Here is a 21,312-nt window from a genome sequence, read left to right on the forward strand (position 1 = left end):
CCCACCTCAGCCTCTTGAGTAACTGGGACCACAGGTGCATGCTACCAAGCCTGGCTATTAAAATTTTTTTTTTTGTAGAGAGGTGGGCGGGGGGGGGGTGTGGTCTTCCTATGTTGCCTAGGCTGGTCTCGAACTCCTGGCTTCAAGCTATCCTCCTGCCTTGGCCTCCCAAAGTGCTGGGATTACAGGCATGAGCCGCTGTGCCTGACCTAAGTTGTTTTTTGCTTTCTGGTTTTAGTTTTTTTGCTTTCAGTTTTTCTTGTGTTTGTATTTTGTATAAATGATTCAAACAGTATGTTCTCTTTTGTGTCTAGTTTCTTTGGCTCAGCATCATATTGGTGAGGTTTATCAAAATTATATGTGTAGTTATAGTTTGTTCATTCTAGCAGCTGTGTATTATTCCATTGCGTGTGTATACCACAATTTATGTATCCATTCTACTGTTGTCGGGTGTTTCCAAGACAAACTGGCAAATGAAAATGTTGCAGAATGTATGTTGAATACATAAACATATACATGCAAAACAATCCCAAGCATGTCTATAAATGCATAGAGAAGTGGTTGCCTGGGAGGAACTGGGGATTGGGGAGGTGACAGCCAAAGGGACTGTAAACTTATCTGTAATGTTTTAAATTTTCTACATGGAAACTGTATTCCAGTATAACTTAGATAATTAAAAATTAAATATAATTTTTTTACACATATTCATGCTCTGTGCATTTGGGTCCTCAGAGCTATGTTGGGAGAAATATCAGTCAGTCAATCAAGCAAGCAATATTAAATGTGTATTTATGGCCCAGTGCGGTGGCTCACACCTGTAATCCCAGCACTTTGGGAGGCCGAGGCGGGCGGATCACGAGGTCAGGAGATCGAGACCATCCTGGCTAACATGGTGAAACCCCGTCTCTACTAAAAATACAAAAAAATTAGCCGGGCGTGGTGGCGGGCGCCTGTAGTCCCAGCTACTTGGGAAGCTGAGGCAGGAGAATGGCGTGAACCCGGGAGGCGGAGCTTGCAGTGAGCCGAGATCGCGCCACTGCACTCCAGCCTGGGCGACAGAGCGAGACACCCGTCTCAAAAAAAAAAAAAAAAAAAAAGTGTACTTATTTATTTATTTGTAAATTATTTTATTTCTTCCTTGATGACTTAGAGGGACTATCATCAAACCAGTACGAAACTTTCATACATAATACCTGGCCATTTTCTTACCAATTGAGTAATTTGTTGCACAAAAAGCTACTTAACGTCTTTCAGCAAGAAATACATTAAATCTGAATAGTAAAGACATTACATAATGAATTAGGACACAATTAAAATTTGCTTTAAATATTTCTTTGGGGGAAAGGACACCACACTTCTACTCAACGAAGAGAAACATTTTTACAGTCCAGAGGTCTTTTATTTTTTTAACACCTATTATGCCTGAATTCATAGGGAAGAGGTTCCAGCAGCTCAGGCTCCTTCTCATTGGTTCTCACAAAGTGTGCTTCTCTGGGTGGAGCAGGCTGGCGCTTTGGTTGAACCCAGGTGCCTTTCTCTTTGACTTCTTTCTTTGTCTGATCATTTTCCTTCACGCGTCTCAGGAAGCCATCTCGGCTCTTAGAGTGCTTCCTGTGCTCAATATGCACATTAATTCTCTTGGCAAGAATCTTGCCCTTAACTTGTTTGTTTAGAACAATGCCAACGGCATGCTGGGGAACATTGCAGACTCTTCCAGTTTTGCCATGGTGACACTTGAGGGGCATGCCTTTTTGAACAGTTCCCATTCCTTGATGTCTACAGTATCACCTTTCTTATAGATTCGCATATATGTGGCCAAAGGAACAACTCCATGTTTTCTAAAAGGCCTAGAGAACATATATCGGGTGCCTCTCCTCTTTTCCTCTGTGTTCATCATCTTGGCGAATTACTGGAAGATGGCGGCTCCAGCCGAAAGCTAAATGTGTGTTTATTATTTGATCAAATATATCAAATCAAATAGATCACACTTACACGCCATGTGGCCTTGAGCAAGTGACTTCACTTCTTTGATCCTTAGTTCCTTGTTCTCTTAGCTTGGTTCCTCGCCCCGCCCCTCCTGCTGCCTGCCAGCAGAACCTGAGACAAAGGCTTGTGAACAGGTAGTTTATTTAAGAACGTGATCTTGGGGAGCAGGAGGGAGGGACAGGGACATTGAATCAAGAAATGAGGGAGAGCCAATACAAGATGTGACACCAAGTTAGCCAGTGCTATCTATGGGTGTCTGGAGGTGGGGGCCATCACAGCCTTTCGTGGAGTTTTCTGAAATGTCTCAGAACTCCCTGCTGGGGGACAAAAGGCAGAAGCATTATTCACTGGTTCTCACCACTGTTGGTCAAGGGACATCCCACAGCTTCTTAGTTCCTCCCACATTGCTGGGCTGCTCGTGCATGACGGCCAAGCATGTTCCCTTGGGTGTCCCACCCAGCTGTAGTGGAGAAGCCCCGGGTCAGCTCAGCACTGGCTGGAGGAAGAGATCTGCTCAAGAGGTTTTTGAAGTGGTGTCCCAAATGTGTCTAACACATTCATCTTTAATGTGAGGGGGGTGTCTCCACTTCAAAGGGACACTGCAAGGATTGGGCTGAATTCCATATCTAGGTAACAAGGCACCCAGGGTTGGTGTTCTGAGGTCCTGGGAAGGATAGGGGGTGGAGGAGACCTGGCCCCCCTACTCCAGTGTGGGGCTAAAGGAGGGGGAAGCTGGAAAGGGAGCTGAGCTGGCAGAGGCTCTGCCATGTTGCTTCTCCAGGGCTGGGCAGAGGCCCAAGCAAGACAGTGGGAAGGACAGCAGGTTCCAGGACACAGGGAGGAAGGGGGCCTGGAGGGATTTCCCTGGGCCTGGAATGCAAGGATGAGGTTCCTAATAGGTGCCGTGGCCTTGTTCCTGTGAGAGGAAGGAAACTGATGAGGCCACCGAATGGAGCAGAAAAGGTGCAGTGAAAATCCTTACCGCCTCCTGCCCTGCAGCCTCTGCATAGTCACAGGGGTGACTATTTTACATCACCCCTGATCACCCACTGTGGTCCAGCCTTGATCCTTCTCAAGGTTATGAAATAATTTGCTAGCAGCCCTTGCTTTTCAAGTATATTACAGGCTAGACTAGGGGTTCTTAATTTAGGGTCCTGCAGATACAGTGTAAAAGGGTCAATAAAACTTAGTTGAAAAAAATGACATCTATACGTTGCTCTAAATTAAATTGAGCACTACCTTCAGTTATGGATTTAGGCAACAAACCACAGAGCTGAGTCTTTGTCACCAGCAGAAGCCACAGATATTTTCACATCACATGACAGTTATAGATATTTTGAAAGCTCATTTATACTTCAAGATTGCAGTAATTATTAGGCCCTCTGTTAGATATCTTGGTATGTAGTGTATTAAGGAAGAAACACATAAATCTCTCTCTCCTTTTTTTTTTTTTCTGAGACGGAGTCTTGCTCTGTCACCCAGGCTGGAGCGCAATGGGCGTGATCTCAGATTTTCCTGCCTCAGTTACCTGAGTAGCTGGGATTACAGGTGCCCGCTACCTTGCCCACCTAATTTTTGTATTTTTAGTAGAGACGAGGTTTCACCATGTTGGTCAGGCCGGTCTTGAACTCCTGACCTCAGGTGAGCCACCCGTCTCGGCCTCCCAAAGTGTCGGGATTACAGGCGTGAGCCACCGTGCCTGGCCTAAAGCATATATATTCTTATATTACACATTTTAAAATATTTTGATAACAATATTTCAATGTAATTGGCTTCCTTTGTAATCTGATATATTTTATTTTATGCATTTAAAAATATTCTTAGAGGGAGTCTATAAGGTTAACAATACAAAAAGTGCAAGAATCCCTGCACTAGATCAGGAATGGCCAGTACTGACCTGCCTGTGCTTATGGCAGACATTATGAATCAATCATGGCAGTCTTTCTAGCAGATGCCAGATGCTCTCTAGGCATTTTCTACTAACTTGTCTGCGGAGACATATGAGGTCAAATTTAGCTGCCCTTCCTGGTCTATAATGAACCAATGCAGGATAAAACAAGGCAGGATAAAGATATGATTAAGTGCTTCTTTGGCAAGCACAGCAAATTAGAGCAAAGTTTGAGACTAAGTGTGTCAAAGGAGTTGGAACAAGAAACCCTTCACAGTGAGGTAGACCCACAGTCAGGGATTTAAAGACATGATTTTGAGAGGTGGAGGAAGGAGGGTGATGGTATTCAGGGTAGGGGCAGGGGCAATGAGAGGAGGAAAGACTTATATAAACAAAGGTTTGAGGATGGAAAGAACAAGAGATTTCAGGGGACGTTGTGGCAACCAGGTTTCGGAGAAGTTGTGGGAAATGAAACTGAGAGAGCAACTTCTTTAGGAAGGTTTGAATATGAAGAATTTTGCCTCAGAAGTCCTTAAGAGGACTTCTGTGAATAGAGGACAAAGGGTGTACCAGTTTGCTTTTACCGTGCAACAAGCCATCTCAAAATTTAGTAATTTAATACCACAACCATTTATTATTTCTTACTCATTTATGGGCCTGCTGGGTGGTCCTTCTGGTCTGGGCTGGCTTAGCTGATCATGGAATTTCCTCATGCATCTGCAGTCAGCTGATTGGCAGGGGGTGGAGGGGCTGGTGGATTCAGAACAGCCTCATCATATGGTTGGTTGGCCTGACTGTTGGCTGGGCCAATGGGGGTGCCTGGGCCACATGGTTTCTCATCCTCCAGAAAGCTAGCCTGGGCTTACTTACATGGTGGCAAGACAGATTTCCAAGAGAAGAGGAAATGCATATGGCATCTTGAAGCCTAGGCTCAGAATGGGCAATTCTACCACTTCACTTCTACCGTATTTGAACTGCCAAAGCAACTCATGAGGCCAGCCTAGATTCGAGGAGTAGGAGAATAGACTGTGCCTTTTGATGGGAGAAGATACAAAGTCACACTGCAAAGGGTGTGGTTACAGGAAGAGGAATCACTGTGGCCCACCTCCTTTTTTTTTAAGAGACAAGTTCTCACTCCCAGACTGGAGCACGTGGCATAATCATAGCTCACTGCAGCCTCAAACTTCTGGGCTCAAGTGATCCTCCCACTCCAGCCTCCTGAGTAGCTGGGACTGTAGGCATACCACCATGCCCCAGCTAACTTTTTAATTTTTATTTTTGTAGAGTGGGGTCTTGCCGTGTTGCCCAGGCTGGCCTTGAACTCTGGGGATTGGGGCCACTTTTGTAATTAGTCTATCCTGGAGGGTTTGAGGGCAGCTGTGGAACATGAAATACTAGGAGAAAAGCCCCAGGGACGGGGGGCTGGTTGGGAAACAATGACAGTAGTGTTTGGGAAGATAGGGATAGGATGTTTGCCCAGACTCTGAGATGGGGTAGGCCTGAGGTGGCGAACAATAGAGGGGATGGGGAGGAAATAGGTATCTGAATTTGGGGCCTGTGGGCCAGGCAAGGAACATAACCATTCGCAGAACTGGAGATGTCAGCAGGCGGCTGATGGGATCAAGGCCTGTCTGATGTGGAGTCCTGCACTGAGAAGGCCTTGAGGCCTTGGCAGACGGCAGCCCAGGTGTGCACCTGAGTCCAGAGGCCTCTGCTACCTACAGGCTGAAAGGTCTTGTGAAGCCCATTAGCATTTCCTGCACTCACTAAGTGTTCTGCTATGCAGAGTAGGGGTAGGAATGCGAACCTTGCAGGGCTGGGAGGGAGTGAAATAGGGCTCACTGTGGCGAAGCATTTTGTAAACTCTTTTGGACTGTACACTTTTTAGTGGTTTTATGGTTTTGTTTTAAATTGAAGAGACATTAGCCACACAGATGAGGGACCTAGGAGGAAATGTGAAGGGAGAAGAGGAGGACCTGGGGTTCTGTTTGTGGGAGAGGCTGCAACTGTTAGGAGGCCGTGGGAATAGAAGGATCCAGAAACAGAGAGGGCTTGGCTTGTACAGAGTCCCTCCGGCTTGAGGCATGGGGAGTTCAGGACAGCAGCAGTGGGGGGCATTCAGTCATGACTGGCTCTGTGCTTGCCCAGTCCTTGGGGTCAGAGAGTTGGGAGTCGGGTGGTGGGAAAATTAGTCTCCCTGCCTAGTCCTCCAATTGCAAAGTCCTGGGTGGTCTGGACCGACGTCAGTGCAGCTCCCCACTCCTCCCTCGCTCCTCCTTCTTGCTGCTCTGAAAAGTCCAGCAGAGTCACTGCTTCCAGATGTGGCCTCCAGATGTGGCCTGGAGTTTTTCCAGAGGATCAAGGATGCAGAGGCAGCAGCCCAGCTCCTGGCCTTTCTTTCTCCCTCCTTCTCCAATGGGGCCTGCCCATTGCTACCCCTCCGCTGACTTCTCTTCCACCACTAGGTCAGGTACCAGGTACCCAGAGGTCCTGGCAGATAGATAAATACCATTTATAAATAAACCTGAGCCAGACACATACATCTTTATTCGTGTTGGAAAGAGTTTACATCTGGGGGAGTGGAGACCTCTCCAATGTTTCCGTTCTGAGCAGTCCCAGCGGCTCCAGAAGGAGGAAGTGAGCTGTCTCCTTGGCTGGGGACCCGCCAGGGCACTGGGCTTCGGGCCAGCCAGGGCCTGGGAGGAGCTGCTGGAAACCTGCCCCTTAATGGGAACAGCCTGGGCCCTGATGTCTCACCGGGACAGAGCCCCAGTTAGGGGGGAAAGGCAGCTGTTTTATTAGTAGCAGACCATGGAAACCAGGTGGAGCTGCTACAAGTGAGTTCTCTGGTTGCCTGGATCGGTGTGTCACAGTTAGTAACGCCTGCGCTAATTCCCTGGGGCTCTTGTTAAAAATGCAGATTTTGACTCAGTTTATCTGGAGTAGGGCCTGGGGTTCTACATTTCTAACTAGTTTTCAGGTGATTCTGATGCTGCTGGTCTGTGGACTACATTTTGAGTAGGAAGGTTCTAGACTGGACGTCTAAAACATGCCTCTACTTTCCTCTATTTTTTTGTGTGTGTACGTTTCTGTATTTTTTTTGTACACATTTTGTATTTTCTGTAGCTTTTCCTGTTTTTTTTCCCCAGTCTGTTTTTAATTCAAAAAGTACCAAAGAGTAGGTAGTGAAAAGTCTCCTCATATCCCTGCCCCCAGCAACCCAGCCATCCCTTCCCATGGCCAGCCAGTGTTGTTGTTTTTTTGTGTACATCCTTTAAGAGACATTTTATGAATATACAGGCAAATATATAGTTCCTCTTCTGTCTCCCTGCCCTGTTTTGGTTATTATCTGATGTGTACTAGTACACATCTTTCTTTATTATGCAACGTACCTTGGAGATTGCACTGGCTCCTTCTTTTTTTTTTTTTTTTTAATTTTTCAGATATTTTTCAGTGATGGATTTCTTTTTTAAAGTTGCACAGTTTTATTATACACCACAACTTACCAAGCAGATTCCTTGTTGATGAATACTTGGTTTTGTCCAACCTTTTGCTCTTGTGCAGTACATATATTAATCACTTGGCAAAGGCCTACAAGTGGAAATGCAGGGTCAAAGAGTCTGTGCATTTGTAATTTTGATGAATATTGCCAAACTTACCTCCCCAGAGAGGTTGTGCTAACAACATGTGAGAGAGAGCCTATTTCCTGTGCTCTCCCAACACCGTGTGTTAACAAACTTTTTTATCTTTGCCAGTCTCATATGTGAAAAACGGTAACTGCTGTTTTTGAAACTCTCTCTTCCTTCAGCTTCCATGACTCTCTTCAACAATATATTTGTCAGAGGGTCACTGCATTCGTCTTCTCTGGGCCAGCCAACTTATCAGCACTGGGGTTCCGAAGAAGACCAACACTAATAATCCTTGCTCTTGCCTCTGGAAGGGAAGACAAAAAAATTAATTTGTTAATGATGACCAATGAATGGGATGAGAGCTATGATAAGGGGGTGACTTCTTAAGGCAGCACTTCTTACACCTCAATGTGCACACACATCAACTGAGGACCTTGTAAAAATGCAGACTCCGAATCAGCAGGTCTCGTTGTGGGTCTGAGATTCTGTGGTTCCAACGAGCTCCCAGGTGAAGAAGTTGCTGTTGGTCCCAGGACTACATTTTGGGTACCTAAAACAAGGGCTGGCAAACTTTTTCTGAAAAGGACAAGAGAGTGGATATTTTAGGTGTCATGGGCCACATGTGGGTCTCTGGTGCAGTTATTCAACTCTGCCTTTGAAAGCAACTGTACGATATGTAAATGAATGGGTGTGGTTGTGTTCCAATATAATTTTATTTACAAAACAGCTGGCTGTGTTTGCTGACCCTTGGCCATAGGCATCCAATAAATAACCTATTGAAGCAATGAGTGAACGATGTCATTGGGCAGTAGTAGGGGCCTGAGCTAATCTAGGGGTCAGGGGATACCTGAAAAAAAGGCATATTTGTCAGAGTCCTACGGGGAAAACAAAAGCCAAAAGCCAATGTTTAAAGAGGGGTAATGACACGCAGGGAATGGGTTACGTGGGTAATGGAAGAGCTGAGAAGTTACTTAGATGCAACCCAGAGATTAGCAACAGCAGGAAGCTGTTACCAATCACCCTGGGTAGGATGAGGAGAGCGGTGAGGAGCTCTCAGATCACCACCTGCTAGGACTGGAACCATGGTGGATGTACCTACTGGGAGCTTGGAGCCCTGGATAGACCCAGCTAGGGTCAGAGACTCTTGGAAGAATCTCATTTCTTCCTGCTCTTTCATCTTCCACCTTTTGGTCAAAATCAGCTGTCATCCAGTCTATACAGGAACCTGCGGGGGCCAACCTCTGCCCTCTAGCTCAGAGCAGGGGCAGTCAAAGCATGATGTGAGGCCAATAAGCCTAGGCCTAAGGGATATTTAGAGTGACTGTGAAAGTGTAGGTAGTTGACCAGGCATACCAGGGAGGGAGGGAGGGTGTATCAGACACAGAGGACAGGCTTAGGGTGTGTAGGGGTGAATGGTGTGGGATGAGGCTGGTAGGGAGGCCACTCCTTTAAGCAGGATGAGATTTATGCTTTAGAACAGAGGCTGGCAAACATCTCTGTCACACAGTTTTCTTTGTTTTGTTTAAAAACAAATGTAAAAACTGTAAAAACCATTCATGGCACATAGGCTACACAAAAACAGGCCACAGGCAGTGTTTGGTTCATGGGCTGTAGTTTGCCAGCCTGGTTTTGAAAGATCCACTTTAGAGGGATGGATTGGAACAGACAAGAGGCTGAGAGAGGCAGAAGGGCTGGAGAGGAGACTGCTGGAGCTACCAGGTGGGAGACGATGAGAGCCCAGTTGTTGGTCATCATAGTGGACAGAAGGGAGGGACTTAGAATTGTAGAATGCACAGGACACAGAATTAGCTGGTCTCAACAAAAGGTCTAAGCCTGGTCTGGAGGGATGTGCAATTGGGCACATTGACTATTCCTCTGATTAGCTCGGAATCCCTTCATCCCTTGCTTCAGGGAGACAGAGGGAAATCCTGTCATCCTGGAGAATGAAATTCACTATGGCCCGCCTTTCCCCTCCCCAGTCCTCTCTTTGGGTGGAATGCATGGAGGAGCAGGTTGCACTGCCTCTCACTAAAGGAGGAGTTGGGCACTCAGCTGTTGGTGACTCACATGTTGCTCATTCTAGAATATGGGTCCCAAGCATCTCCTGACCTCAGTTTCAGGCCTTGGCTGCCATTCCAGGACAACAGAAGAAGTCCCACCAACATCCTCTGACACTTTCTTGTGGAGTTTCCTGTGGGTCCAGAGTAGAGATAAGGGCTGGGAAGACCCTCACCCAGCCCTGGGCTCAAACACCTGCTGGTAGCCTCTGCCATCATCTCGATCACACACGGGCTAATGGTGTTGCGACAGGGCTGGGATGATGTCTTAGTTTGGACTGCCCTGGAGGCAGACCGTGAGACAAGGCTTTGAACACAAGTAGTTCTGTGAAATGGGGAAGGAAGGCAGCCCACAAGGGGTGTATTATCAAGCTAGTTACCACTGTGGGCAACTGGAGTTCAGTCTTGCGGGGGAAATCTGGGCATCAGAGTAGAACACGTGCCCCAGAGTTATCTTGCCTGAGGAGTGAGGGAGCTGGGGTATTTATCCATCAACTCCTGTGAGTTATAGCTAGAAGAAGGGCTCTGCTAAGGGTTGTTAATTCCCTGGCACTTCCAGCATGCTGCCTGGCCTTCTGCAGTTTAGGAAAGAAAGCTCTCAGGTGCAGACATGCAGATTCACAGGTGGAAGGCAGCGGGAGCTCCCTGAGGTGGTGAGGCCTCAAGGAGTGAGCAGGATGCCTATAGGATCCACTATCAATGGTTATCATCTCCACTTGACAGATGGGGGAACTGAGAAGCAAAGTGACAGTCCCAAATCACACTGCAGTTTGTGACAATGAGGGGCTGGAGCTCAGAGCATGTGGGTCCAGGGTCTTCCACTATTTTTTATGCCGTTGTTATGAATCTTCTGGGCATAAGAGGACCTGCCCTTGGTATCTCATAGGCTGACTCTGGTTGCCCTACATGCCTGCCTGCTACATTGTCTCCCCTGATGACCCCCACTTCCTGGGTCTACCCAGAGTCCAGAGCCCAAAGCCATACCTGCAGGAAGGGAAGCCTGCAGGACATGCACATGTGGCAAGGCTTGGCTTCTTACCAAGTGTAAGACTATGTAAGACTCGCAGAGCATGGGGAGGAGGGTAAGCAGGAGACAGGGTGGGGTGGGGAGCTGGGAGGTGGCCAACTTGTCAAGCTGTGTGGGAGGAAGGCGTGCTGAGCAGAGGTAGACAGAACAGGACTGAGCCAGCATGGAGGGCAGTCCAGAGGACCGAAAGGTGGGCTGGGCAAGTCTGAGCCCCCTGCCCCTTGCATGGTTAGTTGTGACGTGGGACTGTTTGCATAGCTGGGAGCAGATGTCTCAGGCCTCAGCACTGAAGGCTGTGTGTGTTCATCTAGGAATTACTTATGGGGGCCCCGTATGTCCCAGCTAGAGTGTCAACAATCTTGGGGGACACGTGGGAGAATTAGACATTTGGTTGCTCTCAGAACCTGTTGGGTCCTGTAGGGGGAATAAAACGCTTCCTCCAGCCTATAGGGTTTTTCGTGTTTTTGCCCAGAGACAAGGTCTTGTTCTGTTACCCAGGCTGGAGTGCAGGATCCTATCTCACTGCAGCCTCAGCTCTAGGGTTCAGGTGATCCTACCGCCTCAGCCTCCCGAGTAGCTGGGACTACAGGCATGCACCACCACACTTAAGTTTTAAATTTTTTTTGTGGAGACTGGGAGTCTCACTATGTTGCCCAGGCTGGTCTCAAACTCCTGGCCTCAAGTGATCTTCCCACCTCAGCCTTCCACAATGCCGGTATTAGAGTTTCCAGAGCCACCATGCCCAGCCTCCATTCTACATTGAGTCCTGAGTTGGATGGTAGAAAAGAGCACAGCCTCAGGAAGCCCCTAGTTTGAGGGCAAAGACATACTCTCAAATCCAGTTGTGAGGTTCCCCCCTTTCTGCTCACAGAGTCGTGGAAACAGTTTTCTTCCCAGTCTTTGATACCAAAAAGGAGGTGGAGATGACTGGGAATTCCACCTGGCTGGCCCAGCAGAAGCTCGATGCTCAAAGGTGGACACCAAGAGCTGCAGGTTACCCTGCCCACACCCACCCATTCCTAAAGCCAGCCTGTGGTCGCTCATGAGCAGAGGTGACTGTGTTAGTCCCCTCCTTGTGCCCTCATGCTTTGCAATGTGACTTTGCCATTCCTCCCATCAGGAGGTGGAGTGTGTTCCCCACCCCTTGAATCTGGGCTGGTGTATTAGTCAGTGTTCTCCAGAGAAACAGAACCAACAGGATGTGTATATATATAGAAGGACATTTATTTTAAGGAATTGGCTCATGTAATCATGGAGGCTTGGTAAGTCCAAAATTTGCAGAGTAGGCTGGCAGGCTGGAGATTCAAGGAAGAGTTGTCATTTCAGTCCAAAGGCATTCAGCTGGAGAATTCCTTCTTGCTGGGGGGAGATCAGTCTTTGTTCTCTGTAGGCTGTCAACTGATTGGAAGAGGCCCAACCACCTAATAGAGGGTCATCTATTTTACTCAAAGGTCCCCAACTGAACTGTTAACTGCATTAAAAAAAATAAAGAAAGAAAAAGCACCTTCACAGAAATATCCAGAATAATGTTTGATCAAATACCTGGGCACTATGGCCCAGCTAAGATGACAACATTAACCATCATGGCTGGCCTGTCACTTGCTTTGGGCCATAGAATGTGCTGACAGTAAAGCTGTTGAGTCCTGCGCCTAGGCCTCAAGAGGCCTTGCTCAAATCCATTTGCTTTCATGGAATTCTGCCAAGCCATCAGGCAGACGATCTTGATTTGAAGGATGGGAGACTCTGTGGAACAGAGATGAGATGTACCAGCTGACTCCAGTTCCCAGCCAACCTGGCAGCTGACTGCATATGCCCAAAGGGAGCTCAGCTGAGATCAAACTGCCCAGGAGAGCATGGCCCAAATTGCTGACCTGCAGAACTGTGAGCTAAATCAATAGTTGTTGTTTTAGGCCACTAAGTTTTGGCATGTTTTGTTACACAGCAAGAGCTAACTGATACACAGTCTAACTTCTGCAGTGCTCCCAAGACAGGTATCCTAACAGCCTGCTACTCAGCTGATGGAGAAAACACAGGCAAATGTAGGGGCAACTTGCAGCTACCATAGGCTCTGTGGGTGTCTGCATCCATTGATGGTATACATGCAGACACTCTTCTACCTTGATATTTAAATGTAGCTCTGCCAAACCCACTCTGGCCTGCCAAGCTCCCACAATACTGTGCCAGAGCAGAGGAGGGGCTGATGGCTGGCAACTGGGAAGGCTATGTGCTGGAGGTAGAGGGAAGCCAAGGGCTGGATCCTGGAGGCTGCTGCAGTAGGCCCAGGGGAGTTGCAGGGATGGATCATAGGATGGAGGACGGGAAAAGAACTTGGGAGGCAGCAAACCTGGGTCAACTTCTGCTTCTGTTGCTCATCAGGCCTGTGTCGTGGGACAAATCACTTCACCTTTCAGAGCTTCCATTTTTCCAAGGGTAGAGTTAGGTTTTATGGGGCCTGAGGCTGATACAATTTGGGAGCCCTCCTCAAGCAGAAGAATAAAAACTATGATTACGAAATTGCAGGGCTTTGGAAGGGGCCCATGCAAGTGAGCTTAAGCTGCATTGGCTTTGCAGTAAATTGCTTCTGGCTTCTCCACTAGAAAAAATAGTAGACTTAATACTGATGGAACAGAATGGTTTTGAAGGTCAAATACATTCACCATACATAGTGGGAGTCCTGGGGGTGGAATCTGGCAGGAAGGCAGCTTTGCAGTGGGGAAAGGGCTCAGGCGGTGGCTGGTGGGTGGGCTCCTGGGGGAGAGAAGGGTGGAATGAGGAGTGTAGTGGAGAAACACAGAGGGGTGTCTGTTCTCTCATCGGGTCTCCATGTAACTGCCCCCAGGGCACACAGAGAGGGTTGTAGGCAGAAGCAGGAGCTGATTTCACGAGATTCTGAGGCCGAAGCAAGGTTGGGACAGGGTTCCAGACACAAACTTGGGAAGAAGGGTATGTTTTCTTCTCTAGAGTGAAAGGCTGAGCTGAGGATTCTTGAGCAGGTGATTTATTGAGCGAGTACTCTTAGAGAGACATAAGAGGGAGGGAATGAAGCAGGCCAGGGCAGGGAAGATGCTAAGCATGAAGTGGTCTCAGCTGGGGTCTGACTTCAGCCTGATCCAGGGGAAGCTCTGGGGTGTGGATCGGCCACTGAGCTGTCCCCCGTTGGGGTAAGCAGGACAGATTTTTTTGCACCTCTGTGTCAATTACTTTTTGGGGGAGATCTTAGCAATAGCTGGTGGGTGGGTGCAGTGGCCAAGGAGAGGAATCTGGGCAGGGCACCAACAGAATCCGTTACAAGGGTCCTTCTCCCATTTCTGCGTGATACGCAGACCTACTACGGTCTCAGGTTGCCAACTTGGAGGCTATAGGGGGAGAACAGATGGAATTTAGGAGGGTCCATAGTGCTGGTCATCAGGGCACTCTGGCAGGGGCAGTGGTGAGGTACTGCCCCCAAGTGGCTTCTAAGGCCATAGCTCTCTAGGAGGGGACCCGTGCTAAGCAGATGTAAGATATCCCAGTTATTCAGAAATAACTGGGATAAATCGAGGGGCCCTGGAGCACCCTTAGTCTGTGGACGGGGGCAAAAGCCCATAAAGTGTGTTTTCCCTGTTAATGCCACCTCATTTGTGTCCATAGGATGGAGAAACCTGGAGGAGCTCGGGGCACATATGGGAACAGCCTTTGTTGACTCTAAAGTGTAGGATGATTTCCAAGGCCATGTACCTGATCAGCTGGAGGTAGTTCCCATCCTGTGGAAGACATGCATCCCAACCTGGCTATGGCCCATTGATCGGTTCATGAAGAAGGGAAACCAGGCAGGAGGGGATGGCAGTTTGGTGCAACTGGGGTCCTGCAGCCTGCCATGTCCTAGAATAAGAGGCAATGATATTTATCTTTGCTGAGATGAGTTGCAGAAAAAAAGCACTTAAAACTTGCCTATGGTGTCAGTGTGAAACGGTACAAGAAGGAGGGAATCGTTGGGGGCCATATTGGCTGATGACCACAGGGGTTAATGCAGCCATGCCTCCTCTGTTACACACACACACACACACACACACACACACACACACACACGGAACCTTGAGATTCTGGTGCACTGAGTCCTGAGGATCCCTGGAGGAATCTGTGTGGCGGCTGCGGGGCCAGTGGAGCTGTAACAGTGGCAGTCGCTGCAGAAGACTGCACTATTCATCAAGGGTCTGGGCAGAGGAGCAGTGGTCAAGCTGGAGTGGTCTGGTGTGCGGCGTGGCTTGGTGCAGGTTAGTTAGACCTGATGCAGGGGCCTTCCCTTGGTGATGAGGTCTTCATTTTTATGTGCCCTAAAACAAGGGCCCAGGACCCTCCAGGCAGCCTCTCAGCTAGTGTGTCAAGGATAAAATGAAGAGTGATGTAGAAGTATTTTGATGAGGAGACATCTTCAAACCTGAGGACTTGTCCTTTTCTCAGCCTGGAGTCTCCCTGGCAGGGGAAGGAGTGTGTGTGGGTCTCCTCTGTGCCATGAAGCCAAGGCAATGCCAGTCCCCAAATTGTGGTCACATGAGGCCTCTCCTGCCTCCCAGGTCAGGGAGTGGGACTCACCGTTCATCTATTAAGGAACTTTAGTATCTGGCCATGTGCTTTATGAACAGGTCACTCCATCTGAGCTTGCAGGGAGTTCTAATTTCTGGGCTCTTCCCTAAGGAGCTGGCTCCTAGGCTGAGAGTATAGGTCCTCAGACCCCAGTCCTTCCCCTATGCCACCAGCTCAGTCTCTAGTCTGGAAGACTTAGGGGTATGGGGGTGTACCCCTTTCCTATTTCTATGAGCTGTTCTTGGGGATGGAGGGAAGCAGGACATATCCATATCCTCCAGTTCTCAAAGGCAGCTTGTGCTTCCATAGAGGAATTTTGGACTCTCAATACATGGATTTTATTTTTATTATTTTTTTAAGAGACAATGTGACAGCAAGAATCAATGTTGCTTTAACAACCCACATACTCAATTATTTGACTACCTCTCTCTGACTTGATCATCTGTTTTGGAACATTGTAAACCACTCTTGGAGTCTTGCTTTGTCACCCAGGCTAGAGTGCAGTGGCATGATCATAGGTCACTGTAACCTCAAACTCCTGGGCTCAAGTGATCCTCCTGCCTCAGCCTCCTGAGTAGCTGGGACTATAGGGGTATGCCACCATGCCTGCTAATTTATTTTTTTATTTTTTGTAGAGACACGGGCTCTCACTGTGTTGCCCAGGCTGCTCTCGAACTCCTGGCCTCAAGCAATCCTCCTATCTTGGCCTCCCAGAGTACTGGTGTGAGCACGGTATCTGGCCAACAAATGAATTTTGAGTAGGGACCCCCCTGCTTCTTTTTCATCATCAGAGCCCACTTTTCTTGGTGACTGGTTAAGAGATGAGGATGAGATGGGAAAGAGAGGCACTGGCCCTTTAAAGGGGAAGCCAAGGTTTGTAGCAAAGTGCAAATTGCATGCAAATGGATCCGCAAAAGAGACTTGGGACCCAGGGACAGCTGGCTTGGATGAACCAAAGGGTTTTTGTGCCAGTTTGCCCAGCCCTGAGTCATGGTTCCCTGCTGGATGTGAGAAGAGGCACTACAGCTCCAGAATTTCTATAAAGGAGGCTCTGGGATTGGGGGTGAGGCACAATCTGGCTGGGAAGGTGAGAAGCTGTGGAAAGTCACCCAACTGCCTGGGAGCCACGCACTTTTTACTAACTGTATGTTTTCAGCGGATGGCTTTGACTCTCAACTTCCTCTCTAATCTGTCAATGTGACAGCAAGAACCAATGTCACTTTAACAACCCCCATGCTCAATTATTTGACTACCTCTCTCTGACTTGATCATCTGTTTTGGAATTTTGTAAACCACTCCTCCCTTCTTGCCCCTTTACCACCTGAGTTCAACTGTTCTTTTTATGCCTGATGGAATTTGACATTCTTTCCATGTACTTGCCTGGTCCTATTGTCCCAACGACCAATGCAGACCTCCTCCTGGAGCTCCAGGCTGAAGTAGCCCGGTGTCTCCTAAACAACTCCTGTGGTTGTCTCCCAGGGACAGCAAGCTGAGCAGATCTGAAATGGAACTCATTCATGGTCCTCCAACACTCAGTTCTCTGCAACCAGTATCCGCCATTACAATAAAATGGTGACCCCATCCAACCAGTGGACAAGCCAGAAGGCTGAGGTCAGCTTGGACACCTCCCTTACCCTCATGGCCCTCATGCAATCTATCTCTAAGACGAGTCCTCTTGTCTCAAAGCTCTTGTCTGACACCTTGACTACTTCAGTGGCCCGTAACTGGTCTCCCTGCTCCCTCTCTTACTATCCTCCCAGCCCTCCATCCTCATCTCCTCCAGTCCGCATTCAGAAGTCACGTGTCTCTATTCTGATGCAATTGTCTATCTGTATGACACTGGAAAACTTGCTGCCTTAGTTCTCTATTGGTCAAAGTTGGTCTGCAGACTTGCCAAAGACCAGAACAGATGAGTTTCTGGGGTGTCATGACCCCAGGGCACCAGCTGTGTTCTGGATAGAGAGAATCCCACAGTGGGGTAGGGAGGCCCCTAGGGTCCAGGAACTGCAGTGTAAGCGGTCGCAGCAGTTCTGCTCCCCCTTGGAGTCTTCAGCTTCCAGGTCTTTGCAGCCTGCCTGAGACTTCCTGCCATCAAGAAGGAAGAAGTGTTTGCAACCCACAGCCAAAACTTATGTCTGTTCTGATTCCTTTCCCCTTCTCCCCACATACCAAAATAGGCTTACTCCTTTCTCAATCCAGAACTTCAAACCCAACCCAGTCTTCAAACCCAACCGAGGCTGTCACCACTGTGAATGTTCATGTATTGATTTAAAAAAAAACTTTAAATTTTGAAATTGTTAGAAATTCACAGAATTGCAAAGATAGTACAGAGAGGACCCATGAACCCCTCACCCTGTTTCCTTCAAAGATTACATCTTAATTAACTATAATATAACACCCAAACTGGGAAGTGACATTGATACAATGTGTGTATAGTTCTATGTTATTTTATCACTTGTGCAGGTTTGTGTAACCACCACCCTGCCAAGATCCAGAACTGTTCCATCACCATCAAGATCTCTCTCTTGCAACTCCTTCAGTCTCACCCTCCTCTCTCCCCACCATCCCTAAGCACTGGTAACCACTAATGCGTTCTCCATAGTTTTGTCATTTTGAGAATGTTATATAAATCGAAGCATACAGTATGTGACCTTTCGTGATTTTCTTTTCCCCACTCAGATTCGTGCCCTTGAGATCCATCCAGGTTGATGCATGTGTCAATAGTTTAATTTTGGGTGGTAATCTCTGGTGTAAATATACCACAGTTTGTTCAATCATTCACTTATTGTAAAACATTTTGGTTGTTTCCATTCTGGTACTTGTGTGGCCATAGCCCTATTTCTCTGGGATAAATGCCCACAAGTGCATTGCTGGGCTGTATGGTCACTTTATGTTTAGTTTTTAAAGAAACTGCTCAACCATTATCCGGAGTGGCTCTATCATTTTATATTTTCACTAGTAATGGGTGAGAGATTCAGTTCCTTCACATCCTCTCAAGTATTCGATATGTTCACTATTTTTAATTTTTAGCTCTTCTAATAGGTGTGTAGGGATATATCATCATGGTCTTAATTTGCATTTTCCTAAAGACTAATGATGTCGAGGATCTTTTCATGTGCTTATTTGCCATTGTATAGCCTCTTCGATAAAATATCTCCTCATATCTCTTGCCTATTTTCTAATTAGATTATTTGGTTTTTTTTTAACTGTTGAGTTTCGAGAGTCTTTCTATATTCTGATACACATCCTTTGTCAGATACGTGGTCTGCAAATATTTTTTCCTAGGTGTAGCTTGTGTTTTTATCTTCTTAAGAGGGCCTTTTGTAGAGAAAAGTTTATTCATTTTGATGAATTCCAATTTATTGATTTCGATGTTGTGGGGACAAGAGAGGCTTTATTTTAAATGCTAATCCAGTGACTAACCACAAGTCCGGGAATGCCTCCAACATGTCTAGCTGATGTATTACTCTTTATGTGGAAACACCTAATGATTGTAAGTTTCCTCCAAAACAGCTCTTGATGCTGTTGCAGAAGTCATAGGCTGTGACACTCATAGCCAACTACACATTCCTTTCAGAGCACGTATACTTTTCCCCCAAGATGTAAGCCCCCTGCCTGGGGAGGTGTGGTGTAGAGATCTACCTGTCTTGTGGTGGCCCAAGACCAGACTTCTGTCTATAAGTTGCCCCTAATAAGCCACCTTATACTGACAAATGGGATTTGCCTGCCTCCTTCTTTGGTTTCTTGGCTTCTTTGGCATTTGAGGACTGCTTTGCATGTGCGGCCCTTTCATGGAACAGGTGTCATGTATAAGAACTCTTCACTAAGCCCTAGGTCCTGATGATTTTTATGTTTTCTTCTAAAAGTTTTATAGTTTTATGCTTTTTTTTTTTTTTTTTTTTTTTTTTTTGGTGAGACGGAGTCTCGCTCTGTCACCCAGGCTGGAGTGCAGTGGTGCGATCTTGGCTCACTGCAAGCTCCACCTCCCGGGTTCATGCCATTCTCCTGCCTCAGCCTCCCGAGTAGCTGGGACTACAGGTGCCCACCACCACGCCTGGCTAATGTTTTGTATTTTTTTTTTTAGTAGAGACCGGGTTTCACAGTGTTAGCCAGGATGGTTTCGATCTCCTGACCTCATGATCTGCCTGCCTCGGCCTCCTAAAGTGCTGGGATTACAGGCGTGAGCCACCGCGCCCAGCAGATATAATTCTTCTTTAGCCTATTGATATGATGAGTTACAGTGATTTATTTTTAATACTGAACAAGCCATTAATACCTGGAATAAGCCTCATCTGGTTATAATCTCTCTCTTTAATATGTTTATTATACATAATGTGTATATGTGTGTATTTTAGTATATTGCTGAATTCTATTAGTTAATATTTTGTTAAGGACATTTTCATCTGTATTCATTGGGGATATTGGACTATGGTTTTCTTTTTTGTACTTTGCCTTGTTTTGGTATTAGAGTAATATTGGCTACATAAAATGAATTAGGAAACATGCTTTCTTCTTCTATTTTCTGGAAGAGATTGTGTAGAACTGGTGTTAATTTTTCTTTAAACATTTGGTATAATTCGCCAGTGAAATCATCAGGGTTGAAGATTTCTTCTTTCATTTTAATAGTCTTAAAAATTTGAATTCAATTTTCCTTAGAGTGAAAGGGCTACTCAAATTATTCACTTCATATTGGGCAAATTGTGCTTGTTTGCGGTTGTTGAGGAATTTGTCAATTTCATTGAAGTTGTTAAATGTATGTGTGTAGCGTTGGTAGTATTATCTTATTCTTTTTTTAATGTCTTTGGGGTGTTCAGTGATAACAACAGATACCTGTTTCTTTCCTGAAATTCGTAACTTGTGTTTTCTTTCTTTTTTCTTTTGTCAGTCTTGCTAGAGGTTTGTCCATCTTATTGATCTTGTCAAGGAATCAACTTTTTGTTTTATTGCTTTTCTATATTGTTTTCTGTTTTTACTTTCATTGATTTCTGCTCTTATTATTTCCTGATTTCTGCTGAATTTGGGTTTATTTTGCTCTTCTTTTTCTAGTTTCTTGAGATGGGAGATTAGATTATTGATTTGAGTTTTTTCCTCATTTCTAATGTAAACATTTAGTTTCACAAATTCCCCCTTAACACTGTTTTAAGTGTGTCCCACACATTTTGGTACGTCGTATTTTCATTTTCATTTAGTTCACTGTATTTTTTTTAATTTCCCATGAGCCTCCTCTTTAACCCAAGGATTAAAGTGTATTGTTTTATTTCCAAGTGTTTGGAGATTTTCCTGTTACCTTTCTGTTATTTGTTCCATGTGGTCAGAAAACACAGTATGATTCAATTCTTCTACATTTGTTGAGGTGTATTTTATGGTCCAGGATATGGCCTATCTTGATATATGTTCCCTGGGTGCTTGAAAAGAATGTGGTTTCTGCTATTTTTGGGTGGAGTGTTCTATAAATGTCAGCTGGATTCTGTTGTTTGATGGTATTGTTGGTGTCTTCTATATCTTTGCTGATTTTCTGTCTGGTTGCTCTATCAATTGCTGAGAGAAAAATGAATTCTCCAACTACAATAATGCATTTGTCTATTTCTCTTTTCAATTTGATCAAGTTTGGCTTCACATATGTTGCAGCTCTGTTGTTTTGTGCATACACATTTAGGATTGCTATGCCTTCTTGGTGGATTGACCATTTTATCATTGTAGAATGGCCTTGGTAATTTTCTTTGCTCTGAAGTCGCGTTGTCTGACATCAATATAGCCACTCTCGCTTTCTTTTGATTTATGTTTGTGGTGTAAAACTGATCTTTTTAATTTTTAAATTTAAATTTAAATTTTTATTTAGAGACAGGGTCTCACTCTGTCACCCAAGCTAGAGTGCAGTGGCACAATCATAGCTCCCTGCAGCATCAAACTCCTGGGCTCAAGTGATCCTCCTGCCTCAGCCTCCCAAATGGCCAGGATTACAGGTGTGAGCCACCACGCCTAGCCATCTTTTAACTTTCAATTTACCTATATTGTTACATTTGAAATGAGTTCTGTGTAGATAGCATATAGTTGGGTCATGTTTTAAATCCTCTCTGTCAATCTCTGTATTTTAATTGGTATGCTTGGGTAAATTTATATTTAATGGAATTATTTATATGTTAGGAATTAAGTCAGCCATTA

The 21,312-nt window shown here is 46.1% G+C and overlaps 1 pseudogene, besides 5 other annotated features; it reads right to left on the reverse strand.

Annotated features, from left to right (window-relative positions):
• Nucleotides 1,385-1,936, reverse strand: RPL21P2 (ribosomal protein L21 pseudogene 2; annotated as a pseudogene).
• Nucleotides 5,029-5,917: an enhancer, noted in NCBI's record as "H3K27ac-H3K4me1 hESC enhancer chr20:4043892-4044780 (GRCh37/hg19 assembly coordinates)". NCBI's record gives its function as "activates a minimal SCP1, AML or CMV promoter by ChIP-STARR-seq in naive H9 embryonic stem cells {active_cell/tissue: H9 hESC(naive)}" and the evidence as "EXISTENCE:reporter gene assay evidence [ECO:0000049][PMID:30033119]".
• Nucleotides 13,234-13,735: an enhancer, noted in NCBI's record as "H3K27ac hESC enhancer chr20:4052097-4052598 (GRCh37/hg19 assembly coordinates)". NCBI's record gives its function as "activates a minimal SCP1, AML or CMV promoter by ChIP-STARR-seq in primed H9 embryonic stem cells {active_cell/tissue: H9 hESC(primed)}" and the evidence as "EXISTENCE:reporter gene assay evidence [ECO:0000049][PMID:30033119]".
• Nucleotides 13,736-14,235: an enhancer, noted in NCBI's record as "H3K27ac hESC enhancer chr20:4052599-4053098 (GRCh37/hg19 assembly coordinates)". NCBI's record gives its function as "activates a minimal SCP1, AML or CMV promoter by ChIP-STARR-seq in primed H9 embryonic stem cells {active_cell/tissue: H9 hESC(primed)}" and the evidence as "EXISTENCE:reporter gene assay evidence [ECO:0000049][PMID:30033119]".
• Nucleotides 16,233-17,432: an enhancer, noted in NCBI's record as "BRD4-independent group 4 enhancer chr20:4055096-4056295 (GRCh37/hg19 assembly coordinates)". NCBI's record gives its function as "activates an origin of replication core promoter dependent on BRD2, P300/CBP, MED14 and CDK7 cofactors, and independent of BRD4, by STARR-seq in HCT116 cells {active_cell/tissue: HCT116}" and the evidence as "EXISTENCE:reporter gene assay evidence [ECO:0000049][PMID:35650434]".
• Nucleotides 16,846-17,140: an enhancer, noted in NCBI's record as "tiled region #12382; HepG2 Activating non-DNase unmatched - State 20:ReprD, and K562 Activating DNase matched - State 5:Enh". NCBI's record gives its function as "activates a minimal TATA promoter and a strong SV40 promoter by Sharpr-MPRA in HepG2 and K562 cells {active_cell/tissue: HepG2 | K562}" and the evidence as "EXISTENCE:reporter gene assay evidence [ECO:0000049][PMID:27701403]".

Source organism: Homo sapiens, chromosome 20, assembly GCF_000001405.40.
Source record: "Homo sapiens chromosome 20, GRCh38.p14 Primary Assembly".
Taxonomy (NCBI): Eukaryota; Metazoa; Chordata; class Mammalia; order Primates; family Hominidae; genus Homo; species Homo sapiens.